Source organism: Homo sapiens, chromosome 13 (assembly GCF_000001405.40).
Source record: "Homo sapiens chromosome 13, GRCh38.p14 Primary Assembly".
Lineage (NCBI taxonomy): Eukaryota > Metazoa > Chordata > Mammalia > Primates > Hominidae > Homo > Homo sapiens.
In genome coordinates this window covers 114,254,017-114,281,249 of record NC_000013.11, presented here as the reverse complement: position 1 = coordinate 114,281,249, position 27,233 = coordinate 114,254,017, and the positions used below count along the sequence as shown (strand labels likewise).

Sequence of the window (27,233 nt, the reverse complement as noted above, 5' to 3'; positions counted from 1 at the left end):
AGACAGTCTCGCTCTGTCGCCCAGACCGGAGTGCAGTGGCGCGATCTCGGCTCACTGCAGCCTCTGCCTCAGCCTCCTGAGTGGCTGGGACCTACAGGCACGCGCCACCACCCCTGGCTAATTTTTTTGTTTTTTTAAAGTAGAGACGGGGTTTCACCTTGTTGGCCAGGATGGTCTCGGTAACTCCTGACCTCAAGTGATCCGCCCACCTCGGCCTCCCAAAGTGCTGGGATTACAGGCATGAGCCACCGCTCCGGGCCCTTGCACATATTTTTTTATGAACACACAGGCAGCAGCACTTTGATTACAGTAACTTACATGGAAGTTATTTTAAAATGGCTTTCCCCTTCTCTTTTTCATGTAGGCTGCATTTTTCATCTGCAGCACGCTTTCTCTCAAGAATCTCAAGCACACACAAGAAACCAGAGAGTAAAATCACTGAGGCGTGAACACATCCAGAGACCAAGGGCGTCACTGGCAGAAAAGCTTTTAGGCGGATCCACGGCCCGAGAGCCACCCTGCCCAGAGACGCGGTTTCCTAGGAGCAGTTCACACGCGGCTCTGCAGCACCCACAAGCGGGGCCAGGGGCTGGTTTTCATAGTTCACAGTCTGCAGGGATCTTAACAAAAACATGGCCGTGGTAAAAGTGCCTAGACCAGGCTTTCGTCACAACTCAGTGAGTAGGAAGACTAGTTAGGCTGATGAAAAGCTCTGATGATGTGTGATTAAAAGTAGGAAAACGTGGTTGCCAAATAAAATATTTTACTATATAGTCAGGGGGAGAGATGGGGATAAAAAAATGTGGAAACCATTTATTTTAAAATTTTGACTGTTCCTGCAGTGTTTAAAATATAGGAGATATATTCTGATTATCTTTAGAAAGAAACTGCTCTCAATCTATTTGTATGTCTTCCCTCTGGTTTTAAAATATTAAACAATCATCTAACTCAATATTTAATTTTACCTCTAGTCATGTTACTAGGTTAGGATAATAAAAAGGACTGTGAACTTCACATCTGCCATCTATAATAGATTCTTATTGTAGCAATCTTGCACCAAGGGGATTTCTTTATTAACTCTGCCAAATTTTCCAAAATTACCAAATGGAGAAAAGAGCTGGTCCCATCTGTCACCAGGCACAACCAGGTCAGTAACTTAGGGTATTTCTTGTGTTCATGTTTTGCCCTCACCACTGCAAAGCCCTGTTCTCGGCCTGGTGCCTCTGCACACCTCTGAAGCCAGGTTGGCCTCAGCCAATGTGAGGGACCCTTCATTTGACCTTCCCCAGAACCTTGAGTATTTCCACTTCTCCCTTCACTGCACTGTACCCTAAAGGGACTCACATGTTTGCTGGATGTGTATATTTCGTAAACCTAGCCAGCAAAATGTCCAAATGTTTTTCCCCCCAAGTCAATTTTTTAACACCCTTCTGATTCTTTACTTCCTGTTATTGCAAAGTTCTGAAAAATGATTTTGAAAAAAAGGTAGGATTTTAGAATTCAGCTGTTTGATGAAATTATCTTTAAATAAAACCATATGAATTTTAAGATACAGTGAATGAAATACACTTGTAAAATAGCTTATGATTTTACATGACAAATTATATCACAAAGAAAAGCTAGCTTCCTACACATTAGCCAGCCTGTTGAAATGCTCTGTTTGATACATGTACAGAACTTTACAGCCAAAGCAAAGCAGGAAGAAATATCTCCAAATCCTTCTTCATGTGGGCTTTTAGTATGTAACTTTACTTTTGCTTAACTGAACACTTCCATCTGTGAATGTGGCCCTGGGCTACATTTTACTTGGTAGCCCCTATCTCATTGGTAGATGACAGTGACTTGAAGCTGGTGACCGTAACACTTCCCAGTATTTCCTTTAACGATAACACAGCCACTGTAGTTAGCAAACAGGACACCTTTTTAGGATAAACTGTGTCCTGAGATACTGAAGAATTGGGTAGTAACAGGAACAATACTTGGCAGTACGACACATTGTTTTTACTCTCAGAGGCCTAAACACTGGTGTTAACACTGCTGCTGATCCGAATTACAGCTTACTCAAGTGTCTGAACCTTTTGACATTCACTTACAGAAACCAGAAAAATTCTAACAGTGATCAATGAGAAAACTAAATGGTTTTTTTTTTTTTTTTGCTCTGGCAGGAAAAATAAATGTAAAAAACTCAGCACTTTATTAATATAATACTTTCATTTTAGTTGTTTTAAAAATAATTACCTTAAGTTCAGTCACTTGATTTTTTAGCCCCAACTCAAGACAGGGGAGGCATACATGATGCCTGACAGAGAGACAGAAAAGCCATTTAAAAATGAAAACATGAAAACGCATTAGTTTGAGTCTAATTTAGCGTGGGGTAACTCATGGTCTCTAAATGTATTACTGCATTAACTTCCAGCGCGATACCTGACTTTCACCATGATGAATGGAGACAGGATGGGGTCTGAATGCTAGTCTTCAATGCACCATACAACAGTGCTAGACCCTCATCAGTATGAAGGGGAACAAAGCCCTCCTTAAAAGATTTACTAGAGTTAACACCTGGGGATCCTCAAGAAATGAATGCTATCATTGTTCTGCTTCAGAAGGTAGAAATACAGGGAATACACTTCAGATAGGTTAAGATAAAAAGTTTTGTGTTTAAGGCAGCACCTCAGTTGCCTGGAAAATTCACTTCTGTATAATGCCTAATTTGTTAATGATGCCGTGAATAGATGCTTTCTAATAACTACACAAGTTTGTTTTTATGAAAAAGTAGAGTAACATGTCCTCTGATGTTAGTAGTAGGAGAGTTTGAATAAAGGACTTTAAACAAATGAAGCATATAATCCTCTCTCTTTATTAGAATGATGAAGAGTGGGGGTGTTGTCTGTTTATACAGTTATCACCTAGGAGTCATATCAAGATTCTTTTCCTAATCTCAGTGAAGAGGTTAAAAAAAAGTTTAAAGATTAGAGATTTAGTAGAATTGTCTTGTAGCACCTTTTTAAAATAAAATTTTTAAACGTATCTTTTCAGACCGGGCGCTGTGGCTCAAGCCTGTAATCCCAGCACTTTCAGAAGCTGAAGCAGGTGCATCATTTGACGTCAGGAGTTTGAGATCAGCCTGGCCAACATGGTGAAACCCCGTCTCTACTAAAAATACAAAAATTAGCTGGGTGTGGTGGCAGGAGCCTGTAATCCCAGCTACTCAGTAGGCTGAGACAGGAGGATTGCTTGAGTCCGAGAGGCAGAGGTTGCAGTGAGCCGATATCACGCCACTGCACTCCAGCCAGGGCAACACAGTGAGCCTCCGTCTCAAAAAACAAACAAATTTTAACATATCTTTTCACAAAATCAATCACCAGCCAAATGTGTAAAACTATGTAAGAACTTTTCCTTCTTGACCCCAACAAATGGGGCATTTCCATCTGTTCCGCTATGGCTGATTTCAGATGCTCCTACAAAACAGGGAATCCAGCTGTGACATATTTTAAATATCATTACTGATAGACACCTGCTTATTTCACATAGATTCAGTTTTCAATCTTATGTGAGAAAACTGCAAAAGATGTTAAAATAATGGAATAAAAAACAGGCCAAGAGAGCCTATAACATTTGCCAACAGTTAAAAGGATACGTCACCAAATTAGTATGTGAGAAAATAGGTAAAATTCAATTTCTTTATCTTATACATACCAGGAGGTAGCAATTACAAAGAATAGTGAATCACATTTATTTTATAGAACACAATTATAACTTAGCACCAATAGCTGTTCAATTCTTTGAGCTTTTTAAAGCATCATAAAATGTGTTAATAGCTGAGTTTGTTACCTTAAATACTATGACTTTCAAAAGTTAAACTGAAATTTGATAAGTACTGCAATTTATTTTATATGACTATTATTTAGCTATAGTTGTGTTTTTTGTTTTTTTTTTTTTTTGAGATGGAGTCTCGCTCTGTCACCCAGGCTGGAGTGCAGTGGCGCAATCTCAGCTCACTGCAGGCTCCGCCTCCCAGGTTCACACCATTCTCCTGTCTCAGCCTCCTGAGTAGCTGGGACTACAGGCACCCACCACTACACCCGGCTAATTTTTTGTATTTTTAGTAGAGACGGGGTTTCACCGTGTTAGCCAGGAGGGTCTCAATCTCCTGACCTCGTGATCCGCCCGCCTCAGCCTCCCATAGTGCTAGGATTACAGGCGTGAGCCACTGCGCCCAGCCTATAGTTTTTTTTTAATATGACTAATATTTAGTTATAGTTTTAAGACAGCAGTGACGTCACAGAAAACGGCAGGGCAGGAAGCTTCAGGGATTAATTGGTTCTTCCACCAAAACCACCATTAAGCTGGACAACAAATTAGCAGAATCAACTGTTTTCTAACTCTGTCACCTCATCAGATGCTTACTGCAACCCGGGGAAGGCTTGATGATGCAGAGGCTGCAGCTTTTTGGTTAAGAGGGTGGTGTGGATGGACAGCCAACCTACCTGCTGCAGCCTGTCCTCAGCGAGGACCCTGTGCATTTTGGTCACATGATGGTGCCCTGAGGGACCAGCGTCGATGCGTGCCTTTGTCTCGACCCCCTCAGGCTGCAGCAATTTCCCCAATACCATCTATCAGAAAATTTAGAGACATACACTTCTTTTAAAAAAAAAGATCTAGATATCGGGCCAGGCGCAGTTATGCACGCCTGAAATCCCAGCACTTTGGTAGGCTGAGGCGAGAGGATCATTAGAGCCCGAGTTTAAGACCACCCTGGGTAACACAGCGAGACTGCGTGTCTACAAAAATAAAATAAATAAATTAGCCGGGCATGGTGGTGCATTCCTATAGTCCTAGCTACTCGGAGGCTGAGGCGAGAAGATCCCTTTAGCCAAGGCGTTAGAGGCCGTAGTGAGCTATGATCATGCCACTGCACTGTAGCCTAGGTGACAGAGTGTGACCTCATCTCAAAAAAAAGAAGAAAAGATCCAGACATTTAAGGAAATTTCTGTCAGGTTACAGGCTGACCAGAGACAATAAAAAGACCAAGAACCTCAGGAATACAGACTTCGCAAAAATAACTTGGAAAATTCACTACACAAATGAACTGCAGCCCTCAACAAGTAACAGAAGCAATCCCTGAGGAGAGGGATAATCTGATTTCCAGAGCTACTGCAGTGTCATATTCAAACTGTACAGTCCTCAACACAAAATTACAAAGCACACAAATAAAATGGAAAATATGGCTGACTTATGGGAAGAAAAGAATATGACAGAAACTGTCACTGAGGGACCCCAGATATTAGAATTACTAGTCAAAGATGTTCATCAACTGTATTAATATGCTCAGAGGGCTAGCGGAAACCACGGAAAACGGACTAAAAGAACTAGGAGAGCGATGTATGAACAAACAGAAACTGTCAACAGAGATAGAAATGATAACAAGGAACCAAATAGAAACTCGGGAACTGAAAAACACAATAGCTGAAATTAAAGCATTCACTGGAAGGATTCAGCAGCAGACTTGAGCAGGCAGAATTAGCAAAGGTGAAGAGAAGGCAGTTGAACTTATCCAGTCTGAGGAGCACAAGTAAGAAAAGAACAGAACCTACGGGACCCATGGGACACCATCAGAAATACCAATGCACGCATATAGGAATCCCAACAAGAGAGAAAAAGGGAAAACAAAACAAAACAAAAAAACAAACAAAAAACCCTAAAGAAATAATGGCCGGGAAATGAGGAAGCACATCAAAAGCCAAAATGGGCCAAATGCCAGGCCTCTTGCACCAAACAGTTGGCCAAGTTGTGAATGCAAAGGAAAAGTTATTGAAGGAAATTAAAAGAGCTTCTCCATTAAACACACACAAAAAAGTGAAACAGCCTTATTGCGGCGGATAGGGAGAAGGTTTGAGTGATCTGGATACGAGATCAAATGAGATACAACGTTCCTGTAAGCCAAAGCCTAATCCAGAGCAAGACCCTAACTCTCCTCAATTCTATGAAGGCTGAGAGAGGCGAGGGAGCTGCAAAAGAAAAGGTAGAAACTAGCAGAGATTGGTTCATGAGGTATAAGGGAAGAAGCCATCTCCACAACATAAAAAGTGCAAGATGGAACAGCAAGTGCTGATGGAGAAGCCATCTAGATGCTCTAGCAAAGATAATTAATGAAGATGGCTACATTAAACAGAAAACGATCAATGCAGACAAAACAGCCTTATATTGGAATATGATGCCATCTAGCACTTTCATAGCTGAAGAGGAGTCAATGTCTTGTTTCAAACGATAGGCTGACTTGTTAGGGGCTAATGCAGCTGGAGGCTTTAAACTAAAGCCAATGCTCATTCACATTTTGAAGAAAATCTGAGAGCTAAGTCTACTCTGCCTGTGCTTTAAAAACAGAAAAAGTTTGGGTGACAGCACATCTGTTTACAGTATGGTTTACTATTTTAAGCCTACCCGTGAGACCTACTGTTCAGAAAAAGATTCCTTTCAAAGTATTACTGCTCATTGACAATACTGACAATGCACCTGGTCATCCATGAGCTCCGTGGGTGATGTACAAGATGAATGCTGTTTGCATGCTGCTAACACAACATCCATCCTGCAGCTCATGGATCAAGGAGTCATTTTGAATTTCAAGTCTTATTTTTTAGGAAATACATTTTGTAAGGCTATAGCTGCCATAGAGAGTGATTCCTCAGATGGATCTGGGCAAAGAACATAGAAAACTTTCTGGAAAGGATTCACCATTCTAAATGCCATTAAGAACATTTGTGATTCATGAGACGTGGTCAAAATGGGAGTTTGGAAGAAGCTGCTTGCAGCATGTGGTGATAATAGCAAGATAACTAAAATTAGAAGTGGAGCTGGGCATGGTGGCGTGTGCCTGTAATCCCACCTACTTGGGAGGCTGAAGTGGGAGGGCTGCTTGAGTCCAGGAGTTCGAGACTAGCCGGGGCAACACATAAGACCCTGTGTCAAAAAATATATAAATAAAAAATAAAAATTAAAAATGGAGCCTAAAGATGTGACTGAATTGCTGCAATCTCACGATAAAACTTTAATAGATGAGGAGTTGCTCTCTATGGATGAGCACAGAAAATAGTTTCTTAAAATGGAATCTACTCCTGGTGAAGATACTCTGAACACTGTTGAAACAACAAAGGATTTAGAAGATTCCATAAATTTACTTGATAAAGCAGCATCAGGGTTTGAGAGGATTAACCCCAATTTTGAAAGACATTCTACTGTAATATGCTGTCAAACAGCATCATATGCTACAGAGAAATCTTTCATGAAAGAGTCAATCAATGCAGCAAACTTCACTCTTATTTTAAGAAGTTACCGGTCACCCCAGCCTTCAGCACCATCATCATCAGCCATCCCCATGGAGGCAAGACCCTCCATCAGCAAAAAGATTACAACTTGCTAAAGGCTTAGAGGATCATAAGCATTTTTTTTTTTAACAATAAAGTGTTCTCTTTTTTTTTTTTGAGATGGAGGCTCGCTCTGTTGCCCAGGCTGGAGTGCAGCAGTGGGTGTGCTCTCAGCTCACCGCAACCTCTGCCTCCTGGGTTCAAGCGATTCTCCTGCCTCAGCCTCCCAAGTAGCTGGGATTACAGGCACCCACCACCACGCCCGGCTAATTTTTGTATTTTTAATAGAAACAGGGTTTTGCCATGTTGGCCAGGCTGGTCTCGAACTCCTGAAAGTATTTTTAAATTAAGGTATATACACTGTTTTTTTGGATATAATGCTATTACATACTTAATAGACTACAGTATAAACATAACTTTTATATGTACTGGGAAACCAATTTGTGAAACTAGTTTTATTGTGATATTTGCTTTATCTTGCCAGTTTGGAACCAAAACTGCAGTGTCCCCAAGGCATGCCTGTAGGTAAACATGAGTCCATACTGATAAATGATCGAATAAACAGGAGAGAAGAAACAAATCTTCAAGAAGAATAACATGCACAGATACTGCTCTCTCCAGGGGTTGGAGCTGAAACCTCCTCAACCCACAGAGTATGGAAAGGGAAAAACAGGAACTTGACAGTGGAGAAATCTGGCAGACACCACTGTGACCAGGTGGCCAAGGTCAGCACTGCCTGGGATAGGTCGTGTGGTGGTTACAACCACCCAGTAGGATGTGATGAGAAAGGTGCTTGAGAAACACATCAAACTCCAATTGAGGGACATTCTACAGACTACCTGGCCAGTACTCCTCAAAACTGTCAAGGTCATGAGAAACAAGGGAAGTCTGAGAAACTGTCACAGGCAAGAGAACGCAAAGGAGATGGGATGACTAAATGCAGTATGTGCCTGGATGGGACTCTGGGACAGAAAGCAGACATTACGGAAAAACTGGTGAAATCCAAATCAAGGCTGGATTTTAGTGAATGGACACTAACAATGTTGGTTTCTTAGTCATGACAAATGTACCATGGGAAGAGAAGAGGTTACCAATGGGGGAAACTAGGTGAGGGGCACACATAAGCTCTCTGTACTATCTCTGCCATTTTTCTGTAAATCAAAAATTAGTCCAAAATAAAAGTTTATTGGAAAAGAAAAAAAAAGACATAACAGATGGTTTACCTTCTTTATTCCACTATGTATAACTATTTTGTAGGTTCAGAGAATCAGAACACATCTGTTGCAAAGGTGTGCGATCCAGTCTCTTAAGGCGGGTCTCTGTTCCTAAATGTAGAGATGCAGTTTGGAGTCACGTTAGGAAGTGGGACATTCTTAAGCCATGGAGAGGATGTGAAGGAATACTAACCTACACTGGGACAGTGGGACCAGGACCACTGACTGGAGTCACGTGCTGTGGTCTGACATAGATGTCTCTAACATCATGTCACTTTCATTCATTTCAATTTCAAAGGTTTCTTCCAAGGAAGGTCTGGAATCTGGAGTTTTCCTTGAGGTTTCCAATGGCGTAAGCCCCGTTTCTTCTGCAGTCTGTTTTTCTACTTCAAATTCCCTGAAATCCCACGGAGGTGAAATAATGTTTTTTAGTGTCTTCATTGTATGCACATCAAAGTCATAACATTTTAATTTGTCTTTAATGTCTGCTCCTAAAAAGAAATACTATAATTAGAATAAAATAAGAAATTCCATCACTTATCATTTCTATTGTTATATAACACCATCTCTTATCATTTAAGTCAGATTATACTATTTAGAATAAAATACAAAACTCCATCATTTATCATTTCCATCATTATACACCATCTCTATCATTTAAGTCAAATTATACTTTTAAGAGCACAAGTTGAGAGCAGAAGGAAAACAACATTCCAATCTTCTTTTTCATTTGTTTTCCACCATTTGCAAAGGAAGTGTCAGAAGACTTTCAGAAGCACATGCAGTTGCAGCTCCAGTGTTTCAACAGTTGCCCATTTCCAAGGCCTCCTAAATACGTATGAGGCCTGTGGACAACTTTCTCCTCAGCTGTTACAGGTAAGAACTGCACTGTGTGGCCAGGCGCGGTGGCTCACACCTATAATCCCAGCACTTTGGGAGGCCGAGGCGGGCAGATCACAAGGTCAGGAGATCGAGACCATCCTGGCTAACACGGTGAAACCCAGTCTCTACTAAAAAAAAAAATACAAAAAAATTAGCCGGGCATGGTGGCGGGTGCCTGTAGTCCCAGCTACTCAGGAGGCTGAGGCAGGAGAATGGCATGAACCCAGGAGATGGAGCTTGCAGTGAGCCGAGATAGTGCCACTGCACTCCAGCCTGGGCAACAGAGTGAGATTCCATCTCAAAAAAAAAGAACTGTGCTGTGCCCATTGGGTATAGTCACCAATCTTATGCATAAAAAAGCCACGATGAAATAAAATCCATTTCCCATATATTAAAACCTTAAGGGTAATATAGATTTGAACAGATCTGAACAGATGTATTAGGTACAATCATTCGACATAAACAAAATGAGTTTTACACAGTTCAAACCAATAGCTTTCAGAAATAGGTAGTTTGGCAGATAATGACATGCAAACTTTCTAAAAATAAAAATGACATGAATGGTAAATCTTGGCCGGGCGCGATGGCTCACGCCTGTAATCCCAGCACTTTGGGAGGCCGAGGCGGGTGGATCACGAGGTCAGGAGATCGAGACCATCCTGGCTAATGTGGTGAAACCCCGTCTCTACTAAAAATACAAAAAATTAGCCGGGCATAGTGGCGGGCGCCTGTAGTCCCAGCTACTTGGGAGGCTGAGGCAGGAGAATGGCGTGAACCTGGGAGGCAGAGCTTGCAGTGAGCCAGGATTGCACCACTGCACTCCAGCCTGGGTGACAGAGAGAGACTGTGTCTCAAAAAAAAAAAAAAAAAAAAAAAAAGGTAAATCTCTTCTGCGAGGTCAAGGAGACATCCCTCTGACTCATTATCAACTCTCTAGCCTTTATTTAGCTTCCTATGAACTTCCCACCCTTGAACAAATGAGGAAACTAAGGCTCAGACTTGCCTTTCTTGCCACAGGGCTGCCGAGGGGCAGAGCTGAGGCTTCAACCTAGCATCTCTCAGAAACCAGAGCTTAAATTTGTTTTTTAAAATTGAGCTAAAACCAAGAGTCAAGTGTGAATCCCCTTAAGCACATGGCTGAATGAACCCTATGTACATGCATCCCAGATGACTACCGCCAGAATGGCACAGAACACATGCAGCTCCTTAAGACCCTGTGCCCACTCCTGGTCAATACTGTCAGCTTTCCCAAGCCTGAGATAAGCACTTCTTGGACTTTTCTATCGCTACCAATTAGTTTTGTTCATTACTAATTGACATGGTTTGGATCTGTGTCCCACCAAATCTCAGGGTGAACCGTAATCCTCAATGTTGGAGGTGGGGCCTGGTAGGAGGTGACTGGATCATGGGGGTGGTTTCTCCTGAATGGTTTAGTACCATCCTCTTGGTGCTGTTCTCGTGATAGTGAGTTCTGGTTGTTTAAAGTATGTAGCACCTCCTCCCTTTCTCAATCCCTCCTGTTCCGGATATGTCAAGTGCTGGCTCCCCACTTAGCCTTCTGCCATGATTTCAAGTTTCCTGAGGCCTCCCCGGAAGCCAAGCAGATGCCAGCATCATACTTCCTATATAGCCTGCAGAACTGTGAGCCAATTACATTTCTTTTCTTATAAATTACCCAGGCTCAGGTATTTCTTTACAGCAATGCGAGAATGAACTAATACACTAATCTTCCTATAAATGGAAGTAATTAGTACATATTCACATTTTTGTCAAAAATCTGTGAAATTTGTTGGGCGTGGTGGCTCACGCCTATAATCCCAGCACTTTCGGAGACTGAGGCGGGCGGATCACCCGAGGTCAGGAGTTCGAGACCAGCCTGGCCAACATGGTGAAACCCCATCTCTACTAAAAATACAAAAAATTAGCTAGGTGTGGTGGCATGCGCCTGTAATCCCAGCTACTCAGGAGGCTGAGGCAGGAGAATTGCTTGAACCCAGGAGGCAGAGGTTGCAGTAAGCCGAGATGGCGCCCCTGCACTCCAGCCTGGGTGACTGAGTGAAACTCCATCTCAGAAAAAATAATAAAAAATAAAAAAATCTGTGAAACTGATGCATGTTTCTAAATGATTCAGTAGTCTTTCAAATAATATAGTATTCTATTGTATGAACATACCACAATTTATTTCTCCTCTCTCCTACTGGTGGACGTTTGAGTCATTTCCAGTTAGGTGCTGTAATGAATAAAGCTATGAATACTCTTGTTTGTGACCTTTAGTGGACAGAAGCACTTGCTTCCACTGGGCTCATACCTGGGAGTAGAACTGCTACATCACAAAATCAGTATGGTCAATCATCACCCTAATACCCACCCCAATGAATCACACCTCCCAGCACCCTCACCCTGGTACAGCCCCCTCCCACATTGACTCTGAGCTTATGAGACTTGTACTGATGGAACAGAACGTGACGGAAGTGATGTTGTGCAACTCTGAATTTTCAAGAGGTCCTGAACTGTGGTTCTTGTCCTTTAGAACCCTGGGAACATCGTGCTACAAAGAAACCTAAGATGAAAGCCCCACAGAGAGAGACTCAGCACCCAAGCTGAGCTCCCTACTGGAGAATGGTACCATTTTAGACCATCTACCCAGTCAAGTATCTGCTGACCACAGCTGCATGAGTAAACCTAGACAAGACCCACAAATGGGTCACTCAACCCACAGAATTGTAAAAATAACACGTTGTTGGTTGAGGTTTTGGAGTGGTTAGGCAGCAATAGAGAGCTGATATAATAGGCTTAACTTTATTGTGATATTAAGCAGTTTTCCAAAGAGGCTTTACCCTTTTATAACCCACCAGCAGTGAATCTATGAGAGTTCAAGTTGCTCCACATCACACCAACACCACATCCTGTACTTTCAGCCATTCTGGTGGGTGTGTACTGGTTTCTCACTAAGGTTTTATTTATTATTATTACTTTTTTGAGACAGGGTTTTCACTCTGCTGCTTAGGCTGGAGTGCAGTGGCGTGATCGCTGCAGCTTTGATCTCCTGGGCTCCAGTAATCCTCCTGCCTCAGCCCCCTGAGTAGCTGGCACTAGAGGCACACACCACCATCATTATGGTTTTAATTTCATTTCCCTGAGGGCCTTTATTTGCTTCTTAACTGAGGCAGAATACGGTCTAAAGACAGGGAGCCTTCACTTCAGCCTCTGATTGGTCACAGTCTTCATTTGCATAGGGTGTAACTTCACTTCAGCCTCTGATCTGCCACAGACCAATCCTTCATTTGCATAGGGTGTAACCAACACGAAACCCCTAAGGGTACTTAAACCCCAACTGGGGCTCATCAGCTGCTTGCTCAAGCCCCTCTCACTCTGTGGAGTATACTTTCACTTCAATACACCTATGCTTTCATGTTCCATTGCTTTGTTTTGTTCAATCTTTGTTCACCATGCCAAGAACCTGGACAACTTGTAGTGAAGACCTTCCACACCAGTAACATATTTTGGTGAGCCAGTCGGGAGGTAAGCCCAAATTTTGGGATTTATTTTTCATTTCTTTTTCCCTTTTCCCTCTCTAGAGAGCCTTCATTTGCAGGCATGAGCTGGAGCTATCTCCATGTGGGGATCCCTCTGCTCTACATAGGGGAACTCCCCCCCCTTTCCCTTTTCCAACTCGGGACCCTTGGTGGACAGCATCTAAGCACAGAGGCAACTGCAGGTCTCTGGCTGGGGACACTCTGGTGACAGTGAAAGGTTTCCGTGTGGAAGCCTGACCACCACTGCCCAGTTTGGGTGAGGGACCTGAGTTTTTTTCTTGTTTTCAGTCTTTCAGTGGCCATTTCCTACCTAATTGCTCCTTGGTAACTGAGGGCAACTGGCTGGGGCCACACTCTGGTGTTACCTAAATTTCTTGAGGCTCTCCTTGGAGGAATGAGAGAGTAACTAAGGCAGTAAACTATGATAAAGTAAGGGAGGTTACACAGGACAAGGAGAAAAATCCAGCCATGTTTCATGGGAGGAGGACTCCCAAAGGCAGTGTTGAGCCCTCTTTTATTCCTAGTATTACTACTTTTGGTATGAACTTTCCTTTTTAGTGATTACTCTATCTAGAAGTTTACACATTTTAGTGACTGCTTTAAAGAAACAACCTATATTGTATCATTTTCAAGCCCACAGAAATGTATATGGCATATAATTTTGACATTTTCAATTATTTTTAAGGTTTTAAGCATGTAAAATACTGTTAATATATGTAAGAATATGCATAACTACCAATACGTAGCACTTTTTTTTTTGTTTTGAGATTGGCTGTCACCCAGGCTGGAGTGCAGTGGCACAATCTTGGCTCACTGCAACCTCTGCCTCCCGGGTTCAAGTGATTCTCCTGCCTCAGCCTCCTGAGTAGCTGGGACTACAGGCGTCTGCCACTATGCCTGGCCAGTTTTTTTTTGTATTGTTTTGTTTTTTAGTAGGGGCAGGGTTTCACCATGTTGACCAGGTTGGTCTTGAACTCCTGACCTCAGGTGATCTGCCTGCCTTAGCCTCCCAAAGTGCTGGGATTACAGGCGTGGGCCACCACGCCCGGCCTAGATAGCTTCTTTTGAAGAGATATTCTCTAAATTTTCATCCAGAGTAGATTCACTGCAGTTTCTTAGGTGTGTTTCTTAATACATTGCCTGAATGTTTTAAAGCATATAGAAATGTGAATACTGTTTAACCTCATGTATTCCTTTGTCTATAGATTAATATTTCTAAGGATTAAAGACATCACAGCCCCCTGTAAGATTCAGTAATATTGGCCAGACATGGTGGCTCACGCCTGTAATCCCAGCACTTTGGGAGGCCGAGGAGGGCGGATCACAAGGTCAGGAGATCAAGATCATCCTGGCGAACACTGTGAAACCCCATCACTACTAAAAATACAAAAAAATTAGCCGGGCGTGGTGATGGGTGCCTGTAGTCCCAGCTACTCAGGAGGCTGAGGCAGGAGAATGGCATGAACCCCGGTGAGGGGGAGCTTGCAGTGAGCAGAGATCCTGCCACTGCACTCCACCCTGGGCGACAGAGCGAGACTCCGTCTCAAAAAAAAAAAAAGATTCAGTAATATTAATAAAATTTGAGATATATAGGGTTAGAACCCAACACATGCAGAGAAAAACTGTTTATACTGCCGTAGAGCAGGAAACGAAACCCAGGTTCTAAGGGGGCAGGGAAACTGTTTGCTAGGTGTGCCATGAGCTACCACACAAGTGCATCAGTGACTGGGCATAGAGCAGGCACAATTACAGGATGGTTAAGAGAGTGAGCTGTGGAGCCTATGGGAACATGCATTTTTAAACTGTGATGTGCCTCAGTTTATCCAACTTTACAATGGGTATTACTCATTTTTTGTTTTTCTTCTCAGTTGGCTAGATTAGTTCCCCAGTCTGTCTTCTCGCCACTCTGGATGTCCACATGAGAGGACCCAAGGTAATTTCTGACAGCCTCGGGCTCCTTGGGAAAACCAGAGGGTGCCACAGACCCCGTTTTAGGAGAAACCTCTGTTTTCCTCAGGGAACCCCAAGACACATAAGCAGACAGATCCCTCTCAAAATCTAAGGCTCTGCTCTGTTTTGTATCACATTACCTGATCTTTTTGACTTTGGGGGAAATTACATCAGAAATTACTTTAGTAGGGGCTGGGCGCAGTGGCTCATGCCTGTTATCCCAGCACTTTGAGAGGCCGAGGCAGGCAGATCACCTGAGGTCAGGAGTTCAAGACCAGTCTGGCCTGAACATGGAGAAGACCAGTCTCTACTAAAAATACATAATTAGCTAGGCGTGGTAGCACATGCCTGTAATCCAAGCTACTCAGGAGGCTGAGGTAGGAGAATAGCTTGAACCAGGGAGGCAGGGGTTGCGGTGGGCAGAGGTTGCGCCATTGCACTCCAGCCTGGGCAACAAGAGCGAAGCTCCATCTCAAAAAAAAAAAAAATTACTTTAGTAGGAACGGGAGTTAGCAAGCTTGCAACTTTCCTATCCTAGATCTCAATAACCTCACCACATCCTCCTTATCACATAATGTTTATAACTAAACGAGTGCCCAAGTACAGCAATTCCATCCAAACTTATACTATTACTTATTCACTGTTATGGAAATGTATGGCATCTCAACATTCTATTGAAATGTAAAGATTTATATTGTTATACCCTGCATTATAAAATAATGACAGAGCCTCTTCAATTGTTTATCAGAAAAATGTTGCTAAGATTTCTTTTCCCATTATAGAAACAGATGAGTCCTTCTATAACAAAGTGCTTTACACATATTCTATAGTGGTATTTTGCACTTAGCAAGTATTCAGCTTTAAACTGAACGCACCCTTGGTGAGTCACTAACTCCCCCACAGCATTGTTCTAATAAAATAAATGGAGTTTCTTGTTTTTAATGCAGCACGAATGGTTAGAAAGATGAACTTGGAACCTCAGACGAGAATATGAGAAACATAAACAGAGACATATGACAACCTAAAAAATGGAGTACAATACCAATAAGAATAACGATTATCTTACCAATATAAGCTTCAGAATCACCAATGTACATTTCGATGCAATGACCAAGCATTGTAACAGAAAATGTATCATCTCGCCTAAGACCAAGGGCCTGCCATAAAAGATTCAGCATGGTTATTAAAAGAAAACATATTTCCTTCTCTTACCACACTGATTCATTTCAAAATATTCCAGGGCATCCAGGGTGGGGGAAGTGGCCAGACATAGCTACATGACTGGCCATGAACCAAAGATTGTTGAAGTTGGTTATGGGTCATGGAGGTTCATCACACTATTCTATTTTCTTATGCTGGAAATCTACCCCAAAAAAGATTTTTTAAAAAGTTCTATCTCGACTGGGCGCAGTGGCTCATGCCTGTAATCCCAGCACTTTGGGAGGCCTAGACGGGTGGATCACCTGGGCTCAGGAGTTCGAGACCAGCCTGACCAAAACATGGTGAAACCCCGTCTCTAATAAAAAATACAAAAATTAGCCAGGCATGGTAGCAGGTGCCTGTAATCCTAGATACTCTGGAGGCTGAGGCAGGAAAACTGCTGGGAGGTGGAGGTTGCAGTGAGCCGAGATCGTACCACTGCACTCTAGCCTAGGCGACAAAGCAAAATACTATCTCAAAAGAAAAAAAAGAAGTTCTATCTCCATACAGAGTTCTCTGAGCCTTCTGTATTTTTTTCCTTTTTTTTTGAGACAGAGTCTCGCTCTGTCACCAGGCTGGAATGCAGTGGCGCGATCTCAGCTCACTGCAACCTCCGCCTCCCGGGTTCAAGCAAGTCTCCTACCTCAGCCTGGGACCGGGCGCAGGGCTAGTAGCTGGGACTACAGGCATGTGCTACCATGCCCAGCTAATTTTTCTATTTTTAGTAGAGACGGGGTTTCACCATATTGGTCAGGATGGTCTCGATCTCTTGACCTCATGATCTGCCCACCTCGGCCTCCCAATGTGCTGGGATTACAGGCGTGAGCCACCGCGCCCAGCTGAGCCTTCTGTATTAATCAGATCTCAGAAGAAAGGTAAATTATACAATACTCAAATATACATATTTAAAAGATCATACAGGACTAGAAAATGTGCTTAGTCCAAACTTCTGACAAACTCAGTGTTCTGGTGACCATCATGGTACCTTCATGACTTCATCTAACCTCAAAATCTCTAATGAACTCTTGAAAATCAGTTACGAAGCGCTCATGAGTTTATCTTTGATAAATTTTCTCATATTTTATCTCTTTCTCCAAATACCATTAGTTCACTGATTCTAAGACCCACATTTTCTCAAATTCAAACATTGCTTCCCTTTTACCTGTGGTTTCCTATTATTGCCATCCACCAGCCACCACTGTGATATGGGTAACCTGCCTGAGAAGCGTGAACTTGGTGGTTATGTTGGCAGCACAGACTAGATCACAAACCATGCGAGGAACACTTAAACAGATGCGGGAATTGTGGTTTTCTAAAAACCTTCTGTTGACACTTTAGCAGACTGAGAGGGACGAGAGAGAGAGAGAGTTGGAAAGCAGGTGTCTGTGGCTGGGAGGAAACCCAGAGTCAGGAACTGGGCGTGTGTGCTAGCACCAGGGCACTATTTTGAGAAAACACAGATACTGGCCCTCTGGGCTGAATATTGTAACCATTTATTTCACTTATATGTACATTTCTATGTATGTACTAGAGTAATACAAATCTGCCTAAATATGTTCAAGAATATTTTCTCTAAGTACAAAAAAATTAAGTGCCGGGAAAAAATTATGTTAAAGTTTAATTGGCAGCACTTTTTTCTTTGTGGTCATCCTGCTTACTCATGGTGTCTTAAATTTGATGGAATATGGTACATGGATTAATGAAAGGTTCTTTCCTTGTGATGACTGCAGAGACTGTTTTGTTCATCTACTAATGTGATCTAAGGGGACAGTCATGAACAGAAAGACTGCGAGTTCCCAAAGGGGCTACTGTGGACAGATAACCCCGTGCTCAGCACTCAGATCACTGGTGAGTGCCACTGGGCACCTGCGCACCTCACTGCAAACACTAAGGACAGGATTCATGTTTGTTTCTAATTTGATGAATACTGTACAACACCCACATGCTTTTCTCTGCAAAGAAAAGAATAACACGTAAGGTTGCCTAAAGAATATTAAAATAGTAAGTCAATATTACCTAGAAAAAATATTTTCAAAAAAGGAAGTGGTCAATGTTAACCAGATTTAAAATTAGGTACAAAGAAAAGACATACTGTGTGGAAGTAGTCCACAGCATTTTCAAAGTTGCCCATCAGACTGTGGATATATCCAATAGCAGAGTAGGTGGATGCGTTCTGAGGAATCAACACCAGTGCCTGACGGTGGTAATCCAAGGCCTCAGCATACTTTCTGTGGGAGAGAACACAATTATTGGCTACAGTAAAAGCACTAAATTCCTAAGTCTAAGATGAGCAACCATCCATATCAACACCCAAGAAACGCTGTCTCAATGAGAACAGCAGTCTAGACTGGTGAATGTTCTCCACACCTACTCTCATGCATCTCAATATGCCCTCTAAATGCATCTTCCAGGCCCACTCCCTCCGCCGGCCAAGGGCACTCCTGCAGGGATGTCTGCTGTATTCCTTTTGATGTTCAGTGGGACACTGCAACCAGAACCTAATCCATGCCTCCTGGCTGTGCCCTTACCACACACCACCCTCTTAGGTGACAGTCAGTGTCCCATATCAGGGGTAGATAAAAGCAGTCAAGGAGTATCGCTTTAAGGTCCAAAAGATTTACTTAGAAAAGTGCTCCTTAAAGTTCTCTGGAATACTTGACTTGTAAAGTCTTTTGTGAAAAAAATGTTTTATGCTCAATTAAACTTTGGAAAATGCTATAAGTTCGTAATACATAGTAAAGACTCAAAGAAATCCTGCAATAGAAATACTTGTTAAATCTTGAATAACCTAAAATTGCCCAGACATATTTAACCAAAAAACCCATTTTTCAACTGTCGCCTGTTTATCACACCACAAAACCTCTAGCAGAAAACAGACTATGGATAGGATTTTAATTATATCCTACTGTCCTAATTCTTCTGAATTAATTTTGAACACTAAATTTTCATATAAAAAAGTAAAATTCTCAATGTGTTTCTAAAATAAAATTACACCAACACAGATAAATAATAAAAACTGATTTGATGCTGATTTTATCTGAGCAGCCAAGTACAAGAAAGCTGGTTGATCTCATGAAATAAGAATATGACAAAGTATTCAAAATTAAGTAAACTTTGAGACACAAAGTATATTTCTGAAAATGCTCTACTTCACTTACTTAAGTTTTCTGCAGACATGCCCCAAGTTGTTCAACAAAGGTTCCCATTTGTCAACTGTTACCTAAAACATAGCAACATCAAGCCCACGAGTTATATATGTCACTGTTCAGCCTGATTTGTTTGCACTGAATTATTTCACGCCTTGCAAGCTGGGCTCTCTCCCAGTGTGTGCCGCCAGCACACCACAAGGCCAGGGTAACTGCTGTTTTATCTATCTCCCTTTCTTTCCTACTAGGAGACTTCCTGAGGACTCTGTTATCATTAGGACAAGTTTATCCAAGAGCCTATCCCTGCTGGAGTTCAAATGAGTATCTGCAACTCAGAGCTTTCCCTCAAACACCAGACCTCTCTATCCATCTGCCTGCTAAATACTTCTGCTTGTAAATGTTACAAGCACTTTAAGTTTAGTGCACCACACACCACACCCATCTCTCCCTGGCCATCCCAGCCCCTGACCTCACTGCTTCTGAGTGCCCCTCCAGTCAGTGAATGGCACCCCCACCCCCTCTGACCCTTCCATGAGGCACACCAGGGCTGGTTCCTTCTAATTGCTAGGCATAACTCCAACCTATTTAGTCCTCACCTTCCTCATTAACAGAGTCAAATCTGGGCCCCAATCATAAAAGTCTGACCGGGTTGTTTCCTTCTTAAATCCCTTTTGTTTTCCCATTCTCCTCAGGATAAGGCACAAACTCTTTCATTCTGGGCCTTTAGTGATCCACACTTAACCCTCCTGACCCACTCCTTGACATTCTCTGTGAACTCAAAATCCAAGCCATAATGAATTAGCTCCAATTTTTGCAAACACTGGAATACCCTTGCCCTAATTTTTGCCTAGCTGATGTCTGATGACTTTCAGGACTGAGGTGTATGCAAAAGGCTCATTTCTGGGTGAACTGCCTTTCTCTGTGGGCACCTTTAGTTCCTCAATTGCACCGTATTTTCACTGTCAATTTACGTACTTACATTCGCCAGTTGATCTGAGGTCAGGAAATAGTAAACTCATTCCCCTTTGCATCCCAAGGCCTAGCTCAGAGCCTATGGCATGGCTGACACTCATTAAATATATGTCAACTAAATGAATGAACAGACCTGAGCCACAGATTCTCTAACTCTATTGAGACCAGTTCTAGGAGGCACAGCCCATGTGAATGAAAAACAAATCATTTAATGACTCTTAGGCATGACTGTTTCTCTTTGACATTTGCTGCAGTTTCTAATAAAGTCAATATTTTCCCCCTCTTCGTATAACTTTTTAATGAGCATTTTGACATTTCAATAGTGTTGTGCTTTCATACTTAAAACCATTAAGTTTCTGTAAGACTCTAAATTTAGTGCCCCTTAATCATCAAAGAATACAGGCTCAACTTAAGTATGGTTTAGGAAAGTGCTTCTCAAAACTTTTCTGTGCGTGATAATCCCCTGGGCATCACGCTAAAACTGCAGATTTTGATTCAGTTGGTCTGAGATTCTGCACTTCTAGCAGGCTTCTAGGTGATGCTGATGCTGCTGAGCCCGTCTGGGGCATAAGGCAGTCACTTCTTAGAAAACTGACAAGGTGGCAAGTGGCAATCCCCTATTAACAAAACACTTGGATTATCCAGAACTACCCAAGACTATGCGACAGAGGCACCTGCTTTATATACACGCATGTGCAAACACAGAAATAGTGTTTATAAGTTCAGATGACATGAGAGACCAAAGTAAACAAAGCTGTGTCTATGGGGACAGGCAGATCGCTTGGCAGGGAGGCAAAGCTGTGTCTGTAACAGCAGAGAGAGCTAACAGCCAAGGGAGAAGAAAACTGTGGGCAGGTGTGCACAAACAGTAACAGCAGGAAGCTGAGAAGTGAAAATCAGAATAGAATGAAACAAAACAGGCACGAATGAAACAGAAGAGCATCATGCAAATCTCTTACTATGCAAGTTTATGGTATCTAAAACTGTTACTACTTTTAAGTAATATCAGTATATACACATCCTTGATAATTGTTAGGTTAACTCATAAGCACCAATTCACGGGATCGTTCATACAACAGAAGCAGTCAAATATTTTAAAATGGAAAGGCCCAAATACACACTCAGTATGCAGTAACAGCAACAAAAGGTGTGAATTTCAGTAATACCTATCCCATCCCTATCCTTTCAGAAGTGGGACCTGCTGCTATACTTTATTTACCCTTCAGTCAAAGAAGCTCTCTGAAGTTCTAGAGGAATATTACATCTGACGCTACAGTGCCCAATTGTTTCCGTGACCCAATGACTATTCCTAGCTTCAAATAATCACCCAATCTATTCTGATGCCTCTCACGTTTCAAAGCTAGAGCCCATTTAAGAAGCAAACGCCAACACTTGCCCTCTTAGGGAAAAAACTCATTTCTTACCATGTGGTAAAACAGTTAACTGACAATGCAAACATTAACAGCCGCTTGTTATGAAAATATCAGGTTACTATCTTCGAAGGCAAGAGATTTCTGTGTTGTTTTCCTCATTTAACAGTAAACACTCAGGGGTGTATATGTGTATATTTACAGGTACTACAAAGAATACCTCGTTCCCAATTGCTTTAATTTTTTCCAAAGCATCAAGAAACCATTTTTCGGCTGTTTTCCATCTAAAATGAAAGGAAAAAAGGTTGCAGATTATTCGAAATTAGCAAATATAAACTTTAAAAAAATTTTTGATTACCTTTCTAGTAGTACTAAAATGCAATGGGGTAAACTGCTGGAAATAATTATAAAAATTCAAAGTTAAGTCACAAATGATTAATTTTACGGCATTAATATCAAGAGTTCAAGATTTCAAGATTTTGGGAGATACAGTATTTATATTCCTTTTTTTTTTTTTTTTTTTTAAGAGTCTCACTCTGTTACCTAGGCTGGAGTGCAGTGGTGCGATCTCAGCTCACTGCAGCCTCTGCCTCCCGGGTTTAAGTGATTCTTGTGCCTCAGCCTCCTGACACAGCTGGGATTACAGGTGTACAACACCATCCCTGGCTAATTTCTGTATTTTTAGTAGAGATGGGGTTTCGCCATGTTGCACATGCTGGTCTCAAACTCCTGGCCTCAAGCAATATGCCCATCTCGGCCTCCCAAAGTGCTGGGATTACAGACGGGAGCCACCGCACCCAACCACAGTATTTATGTTCTATAAAGTCACTGTGTACACTGAGTTAGCAAATATTGAACCGCGGCTGCCAGGGGAAATACAGTTAGATTCCTGCAATTCTCTGGTCACATTTTCTCTAATTGATCAATGCGTAACCTTGTTTTATGTGTGTTTCTATTTAAAGACGTCTTATTTGATACATATTGTTGATTCATCAATATTGAAGTCAGGGCCAGCAGCACTATAAATACTGATGCCTGCTTGAATGAAGCTTCTCTAATACATGTGTTTCCTCTGTAACACAAAAGTGTATCACAATTAACACTAGATAGCATTTCACTAAGCTTGGGGATTATTTCAAAACAGTGAAATCATCAACAAAAAGCACAAAAATGTGAAAACTGTGGCACTAAATAGACCACAAGAAGTACACTGGTTTATAGTTGAACTGGGAAAAAAGGCAGAGCGTTGCCTTCTTAGACTCCAGCTGGAAGTGTGTGTGCCAGGAGACCCAGCTTTCTCCCAGCCCTGGGCATGTCTGCCAATGGCTCAGAAAGCACCTCAGGAACTGATTTGGCGGTTACAAATAAATTTTAATGAGTAGGCAAATTCGCAAATACTGATGATTACTGTATTATATTAAAAGATTACTATTTATTTTAAAGCTTCAAACTTTTAAAAAATACCTAGATAACCCATTTTTTAGAACACATACATGCCATAAATGACACTGTAGTAGTATTAATACTAATTTACAGCCGAGCGTGGAGGCTCACACCTGTAATCCCAGCACTTTGGGAGGCTGAGGCAGGCGGATCACCAGGTCAGGAGTTCGAGACCAGCCTGACCAACATGGTGAAACCCTGTCTCTACTAAAAATACAAAAATTAGCCGGGCGTGGTGGTGGGCATCTGTAATCCCAGCTACTCAGGAGGCTGAGGCAGGAGAATCGCTTGAACCTGGGAGGCAGAGAATGCAGTGAGCTGAAAATGCGCCACTGCACTCTAGCCTGGGCAACACAGCGAGACTCCATCTCAAAAAAACAAAAACAAAAACCAAAAAAAACTGAAACTAATTTACCATTTTAAAATTTGTATATCATGAAATGCAAAGGATTACATACATTTTTCTCTTTGAGTATAACACCAAATCACTTATTCTACAAATATTCTAGAGTACAGTAAAGCCTACACTGACCAGGAATTAAATTTTCTGACTTACTAGTAACTAAATAGAAAACACTTTTGTTTCAAAAACCATGTCAAATTCTTCTCAAATACGTAAATTCAACTCCTTATCAACACAGAGATAACTAAGGATTCCACAGTGCCCCCAGCCACACTGTGGGGTATGTGTAATCTGAACTGTCCAATCATGTAAGAAAAGAAGTGGTAGCTCAGATCAAAAAAAGACCAAAACCTGGGTTTAGAATTTTTAAGGAAATCCAAGATAACAGTTTCTCTCTTTTTTTTCTATCTCCTTCTCCTAAAATAGAACATTTAAAAGTACAAATCTACTGAAGAGTCGCTTTTGTCAGTGAACTCTAGTGATCACCTACTGTATTTACAATCACTAGTTAACAGAAGGGTTTCTGGTCTTCCAGTACTTACTCTCCATTCTGAAATGCAACCACGCCGACCTCATGCATAACAAAAGGGTCTTCCGGTGCAATGCTCAGAGCTTGGCTGAAGAACCTTTCAGCTAGTTTTGAGTTATTGGTCAAACCATATTCTAATCCAATATACAGCATAGGCAAATGACACCTAAAAAATTGGAAAATTTCACATATTCAACACCAAAAACTGTGATTTAGCAGAAATTAATCTGTCAACTTCAAATCCTATCTGCAAAATAATTTAAAGGTAGCCAAAACACAGCATTTACTTTTTTCTCTTAATTTACAAATATTTAATGAATGCCTAATGGGCTTTGGACTAATCAGCTGCCACTTCTAGAATCTATCTGCAACTTATTTACCTTTAATTTTCATTATTATTCCACAGTAAAAAAACAAAAACTCTCTAAAGCAAAAGGGCAGGTCTCTGTGGTGCTGTCTTCCTCCTTGATGCTAATGTCATGCCCCAGCCGACACTGGTCTTCCTCTTATTTACTCACCACCATTTATCCTTCAAGATTGGGTTCAACTTCTACTTCCCTTTATGAAGCTACCTCTGACTTTTCTAACATAAATGCTCTCCCTTCTGTGAATTCCCATTATAATCAGTTCTATGCAGAAGAGTTATGAATAATGCCCTGTGTATTGATTCAATTTTCCCACCTTCTGAGACAGTTCTAGGCAGAGTCAGAACTACTTTTTAATTGAATTTTCATCTGTTCACACGATTGGGATCAGTGATTGCATTAAAGCAAGTGTAATAAGACAATCTTTCCTTGATGATGATCTCAGAACATCAATAAATACTGATTGCTTGGTGTGTGCTTTGGTTCTAATCTAGAGTCATAACTCAAATTAAGATTATATCCTCTACAGAAGGTCATGACAAATTCTTTAAAAATATTTACACCTGGTAGAAGTACTTTCAAAATGGCAGCATAAGGACTCCAAAAATCTATTCATCCATAGAAGCAACAACAACACTGGCAAAAATTATCAAAACCAATTTTTTCAGAACTTTGGAAGGTAACCAAGCTCTTAAAACAATCTGAGGAGTGTATATTCAAGAAAAGATGGCTAAATCTCAGTAAGAACAACTTTGTGCTGCTTTAACTTGTCTTATTCCCATCTCCCTTTCCCTAGCTTTGCATTAACCTTAAAAACAAGCAGTCTCATAACAACAGCCGTTGTAAAGCCATTAGCCTAGCAGCCATTGGAGAAAGCAGAATTAATTTAGAGTTCCTCAAACACCCCACAGGGAACTGCTGCTATTTGACCTGTCTGGTAGCTCCTAAAAGAGCCCCCTGGGCTCATACCTGTAATCCCAGTACTCTGGGAGGCTAAGGTGAAAGGAATGCTTGAGCCCAGGAGTTTATGACACACAGTGAGACCCCATCTCTAAAAAGTAATAAAAAATTAGCCAAGCGTGGTGGTATGGGCTTGTAGTCCCAGACACTTGAGAGGCTGAGGCGGAAGGATCCCTTGAGCCCAGGAGTTTGAGAATGCAGTGAGCTGTGATGGTGCCACTGCACTCCAGCCTGGGCAAGAGAGTGAGACTCTATGTACAGGTTGAGTATTCTTCATCAGAAATGCTTGAGACCAGAAGTGTCTGGGATTTCAGGTTTTTTTTTTTTAATTTTGGAATTTATGCATCCCTATTCTGAAAATCCAAAATACTCCAGTGAGCAATTCTTTTTGAGTGTCATGACAGTGCTCAAAAAGTTTGGGCTTCTGGAACATTTTGAACTTTGGATTTTCAGATTAGGGATACTCAATGTGCAATTATATTGTTGGGCCTATCATATACAGAAATGTAAGGTTTACCAGTAACAGTGTAATAGGAAGCGGGTGACAGCAAAGCTGTATTACAGTAGGAAAGTAACACTGGATGTTAACTTGAACCCACAGGAACAAAGAGAACTGAAAATGGTAAATAACAGGGTTAATATAACAAATGATATAAGTATATACACCTTCTTTCCTCACAGCTTCTTTGAAAAACAAAATTACATAAATAATAACAATGTATAATTGAGAAAATCTGTCATTAGTACATCTGCCCAGTAAGAAATACTAAAGGGAGTCCTTTATGCTAAAACAGAAGGATACTACATAGGAATTCAAATCCACATTGTTGCAGAAGAGTCAAACTCTAAGAACTCGAAGTGCAGGCTTCCAGGTAACAGGTAGATTTAAGATTTTTCTGATTGGTTGAAAGAGTTATTATCAATAGTAAGCAATGTCTGGGTTATGATAAGAGGTTGCAGAGACCAAATTTTATCATGCAGATGAAGCCTCCAGGTAGCAGGCTTCAGAGAGGATAGATGGTAAGTGTTTCTTCTTATCAGACTGAAGGTCCATTTGATGTTAATGCTGGAGGGCGTAAAGAGGAGTGTTGGACCCCCACTTCCCATCATGGCCTGAACCAGTCTTTCAGGTTAAATTTAGACGGCCCTGGCCTAGAGGAGGAAGCCCATTTAGATGGTTGGGGAGGGTCTTCAAATTTTATTTTTGGTTTACAACACGAAGAAATGAGAGTCTGATAAAAATAGCTACATTGGTAATTATGAGACAGTATAAAATGTGCTTGTTTTTAACTCTTCTATCTGATTTAAAAGACAACAGAATAAATAATAATAACAGATCTGTGCTGATGGACTTATAATGTGTAAGATGTATTCTATATGACACTAACAGCACAAGGAGGCAAGAGGAAACAGCTATATCGGAGTAAGGTTTGGGCGTACTATTAAAATTAAATTGGTATTAATTCAAAGTAGGTCGTTTTAAATTAAGGTGCTAATTATAATCCTAAAGATAACCAACCTAAGAAAATAACTCAAAAGATATAGTATAATAAAAAAAGGGGATTAAAATGGGACATTATAAAATATTTACTCAACACAAAAGAAGAAATACAGGAACAAAAGATGTGATGTATAGACAATAAAGAACAAAACGCCAGACATAAATCCTATCTTGTTAGTAATTAAACATAAATGGATCTAACTGTATGTTGTCAACAAGAGACATGCTTTAGATTCAAAACACAAGTTGAAATTAAAAGAATGAAAAAAACCACACCATATAAACAGTAACAAAAGAGAGCTGGTGTGCCTACAGTAACATCAGATGAAACAGACTTTATAAAAAAAAGTATTATTAGAGATAATTAGTGATATTTTATAATGATAAAAGGCTCAATCCAT

The 27,233-nt window shown here is 41.2% G+C and overlaps 1 protein-coding gene, 1 long non-coding RNA gene and 1 other non-coding gene across 30 annotated transcripts in view, besides 1 other annotated feature; 1 reads left to right on the top strand and 2 right to left on the bottom strand.

Annotated features, from left to right (window-relative positions):
* The window catches only part of LOC105370384 (uncharacterized), a 30,962-nt gene that overhangs the window by 328 nt on the left and 3,401 nt on the right, over positions 1 to 27,233 (top strand). Inside the window, exons 1-6 of one of the 9 annotated variants that reach the window (XR_007063885.1) lie at positions 181 to 677; positions 972 to 1,147; positions 9,328 to 9,451; positions 12,915 to 12,979; positions 14,862 to 14,926; positions 15,891 to 15,973. This is a non-coding gene — a long non-coding RNA (uncharacterized LOC105370384). Of the gene's footprint in view, positions 1 to 180; positions 1,148 to 2,416; positions 2,839 to 9,327; positions 9,452 to 12,914; positions 12,980 to 14,861; positions 14,927 to 15,890; positions 15,978 to 27,233 lie in introns of those variants that run through there. The other 8 variants (XR_007063886.1, XR_007063888.1, XR_001750056.2 and 5 more) reach the window with 8 other exon arrangements.
* Positions 122 to 421: an enhancer, noted in NCBI's record as "active region_8062". NCBI's record gives its function as "activates an Ori minimal core promoter by ATAC-STARR-seq in GM12878 lymphoblastoid cells {active_cell/tissue: GM12878}" and the evidence as "EXISTENCE:reporter gene assay evidence [ECO:0000049][PMID:35858748]".
* MIR4502 (microRNA 4502) lies at positions 7,342 to 7,422 on the bottom strand. The gene has a single exon (NR_039724.1). It is a non-coding gene; the product is annotated as a microRNA 4502 (primary transcript).
* The window catches only part of CDC16 (cell division cycle 16), a 37,827-nt gene continuing 19,120 nt past the window's right edge, over positions 8,527 to 27,233 (bottom strand). For 4 of the 20 annotated variants that reach the window (NM_001078645.3, NM_001330101.2, XM_047430754.1 and 1 more), the window contains 6 exons: positions 24,020 to 24,172; positions 21,852 to 21,915; positions 19,302 to 19,363; positions 18,236 to 18,371; positions 16,010 to 16,100; positions 8,527 to 9,066 (listed from right to left, as the gene is read on the bottom strand). In NM_001078645.3, coding sequence (NP_001072113.1) covers positions 8,807 to 9,066; positions 16,010 to 16,100; positions 18,236 to 18,371; positions 19,302 to 19,363; positions 21,852 to 21,915; positions 24,020 to 24,172 — 766 coding nt within the window. In that variant the 3' untranslated portion in view covers positions 8,527 to 8,806. Of the gene's footprint in view, positions 9,067 to 11,629; positions 11,688 to 16,009; positions 16,101 to 18,234; positions 18,372 to 19,301; positions 19,364 to 21,851; positions 21,916 to 24,019; positions 24,173 to 27,233 lie in introns of those variants that run through there. The other 16 variants (NM_003903.5, NM_001318517.3, NM_001330105.2 and 13 more) reach the window with 11 other exon arrangements.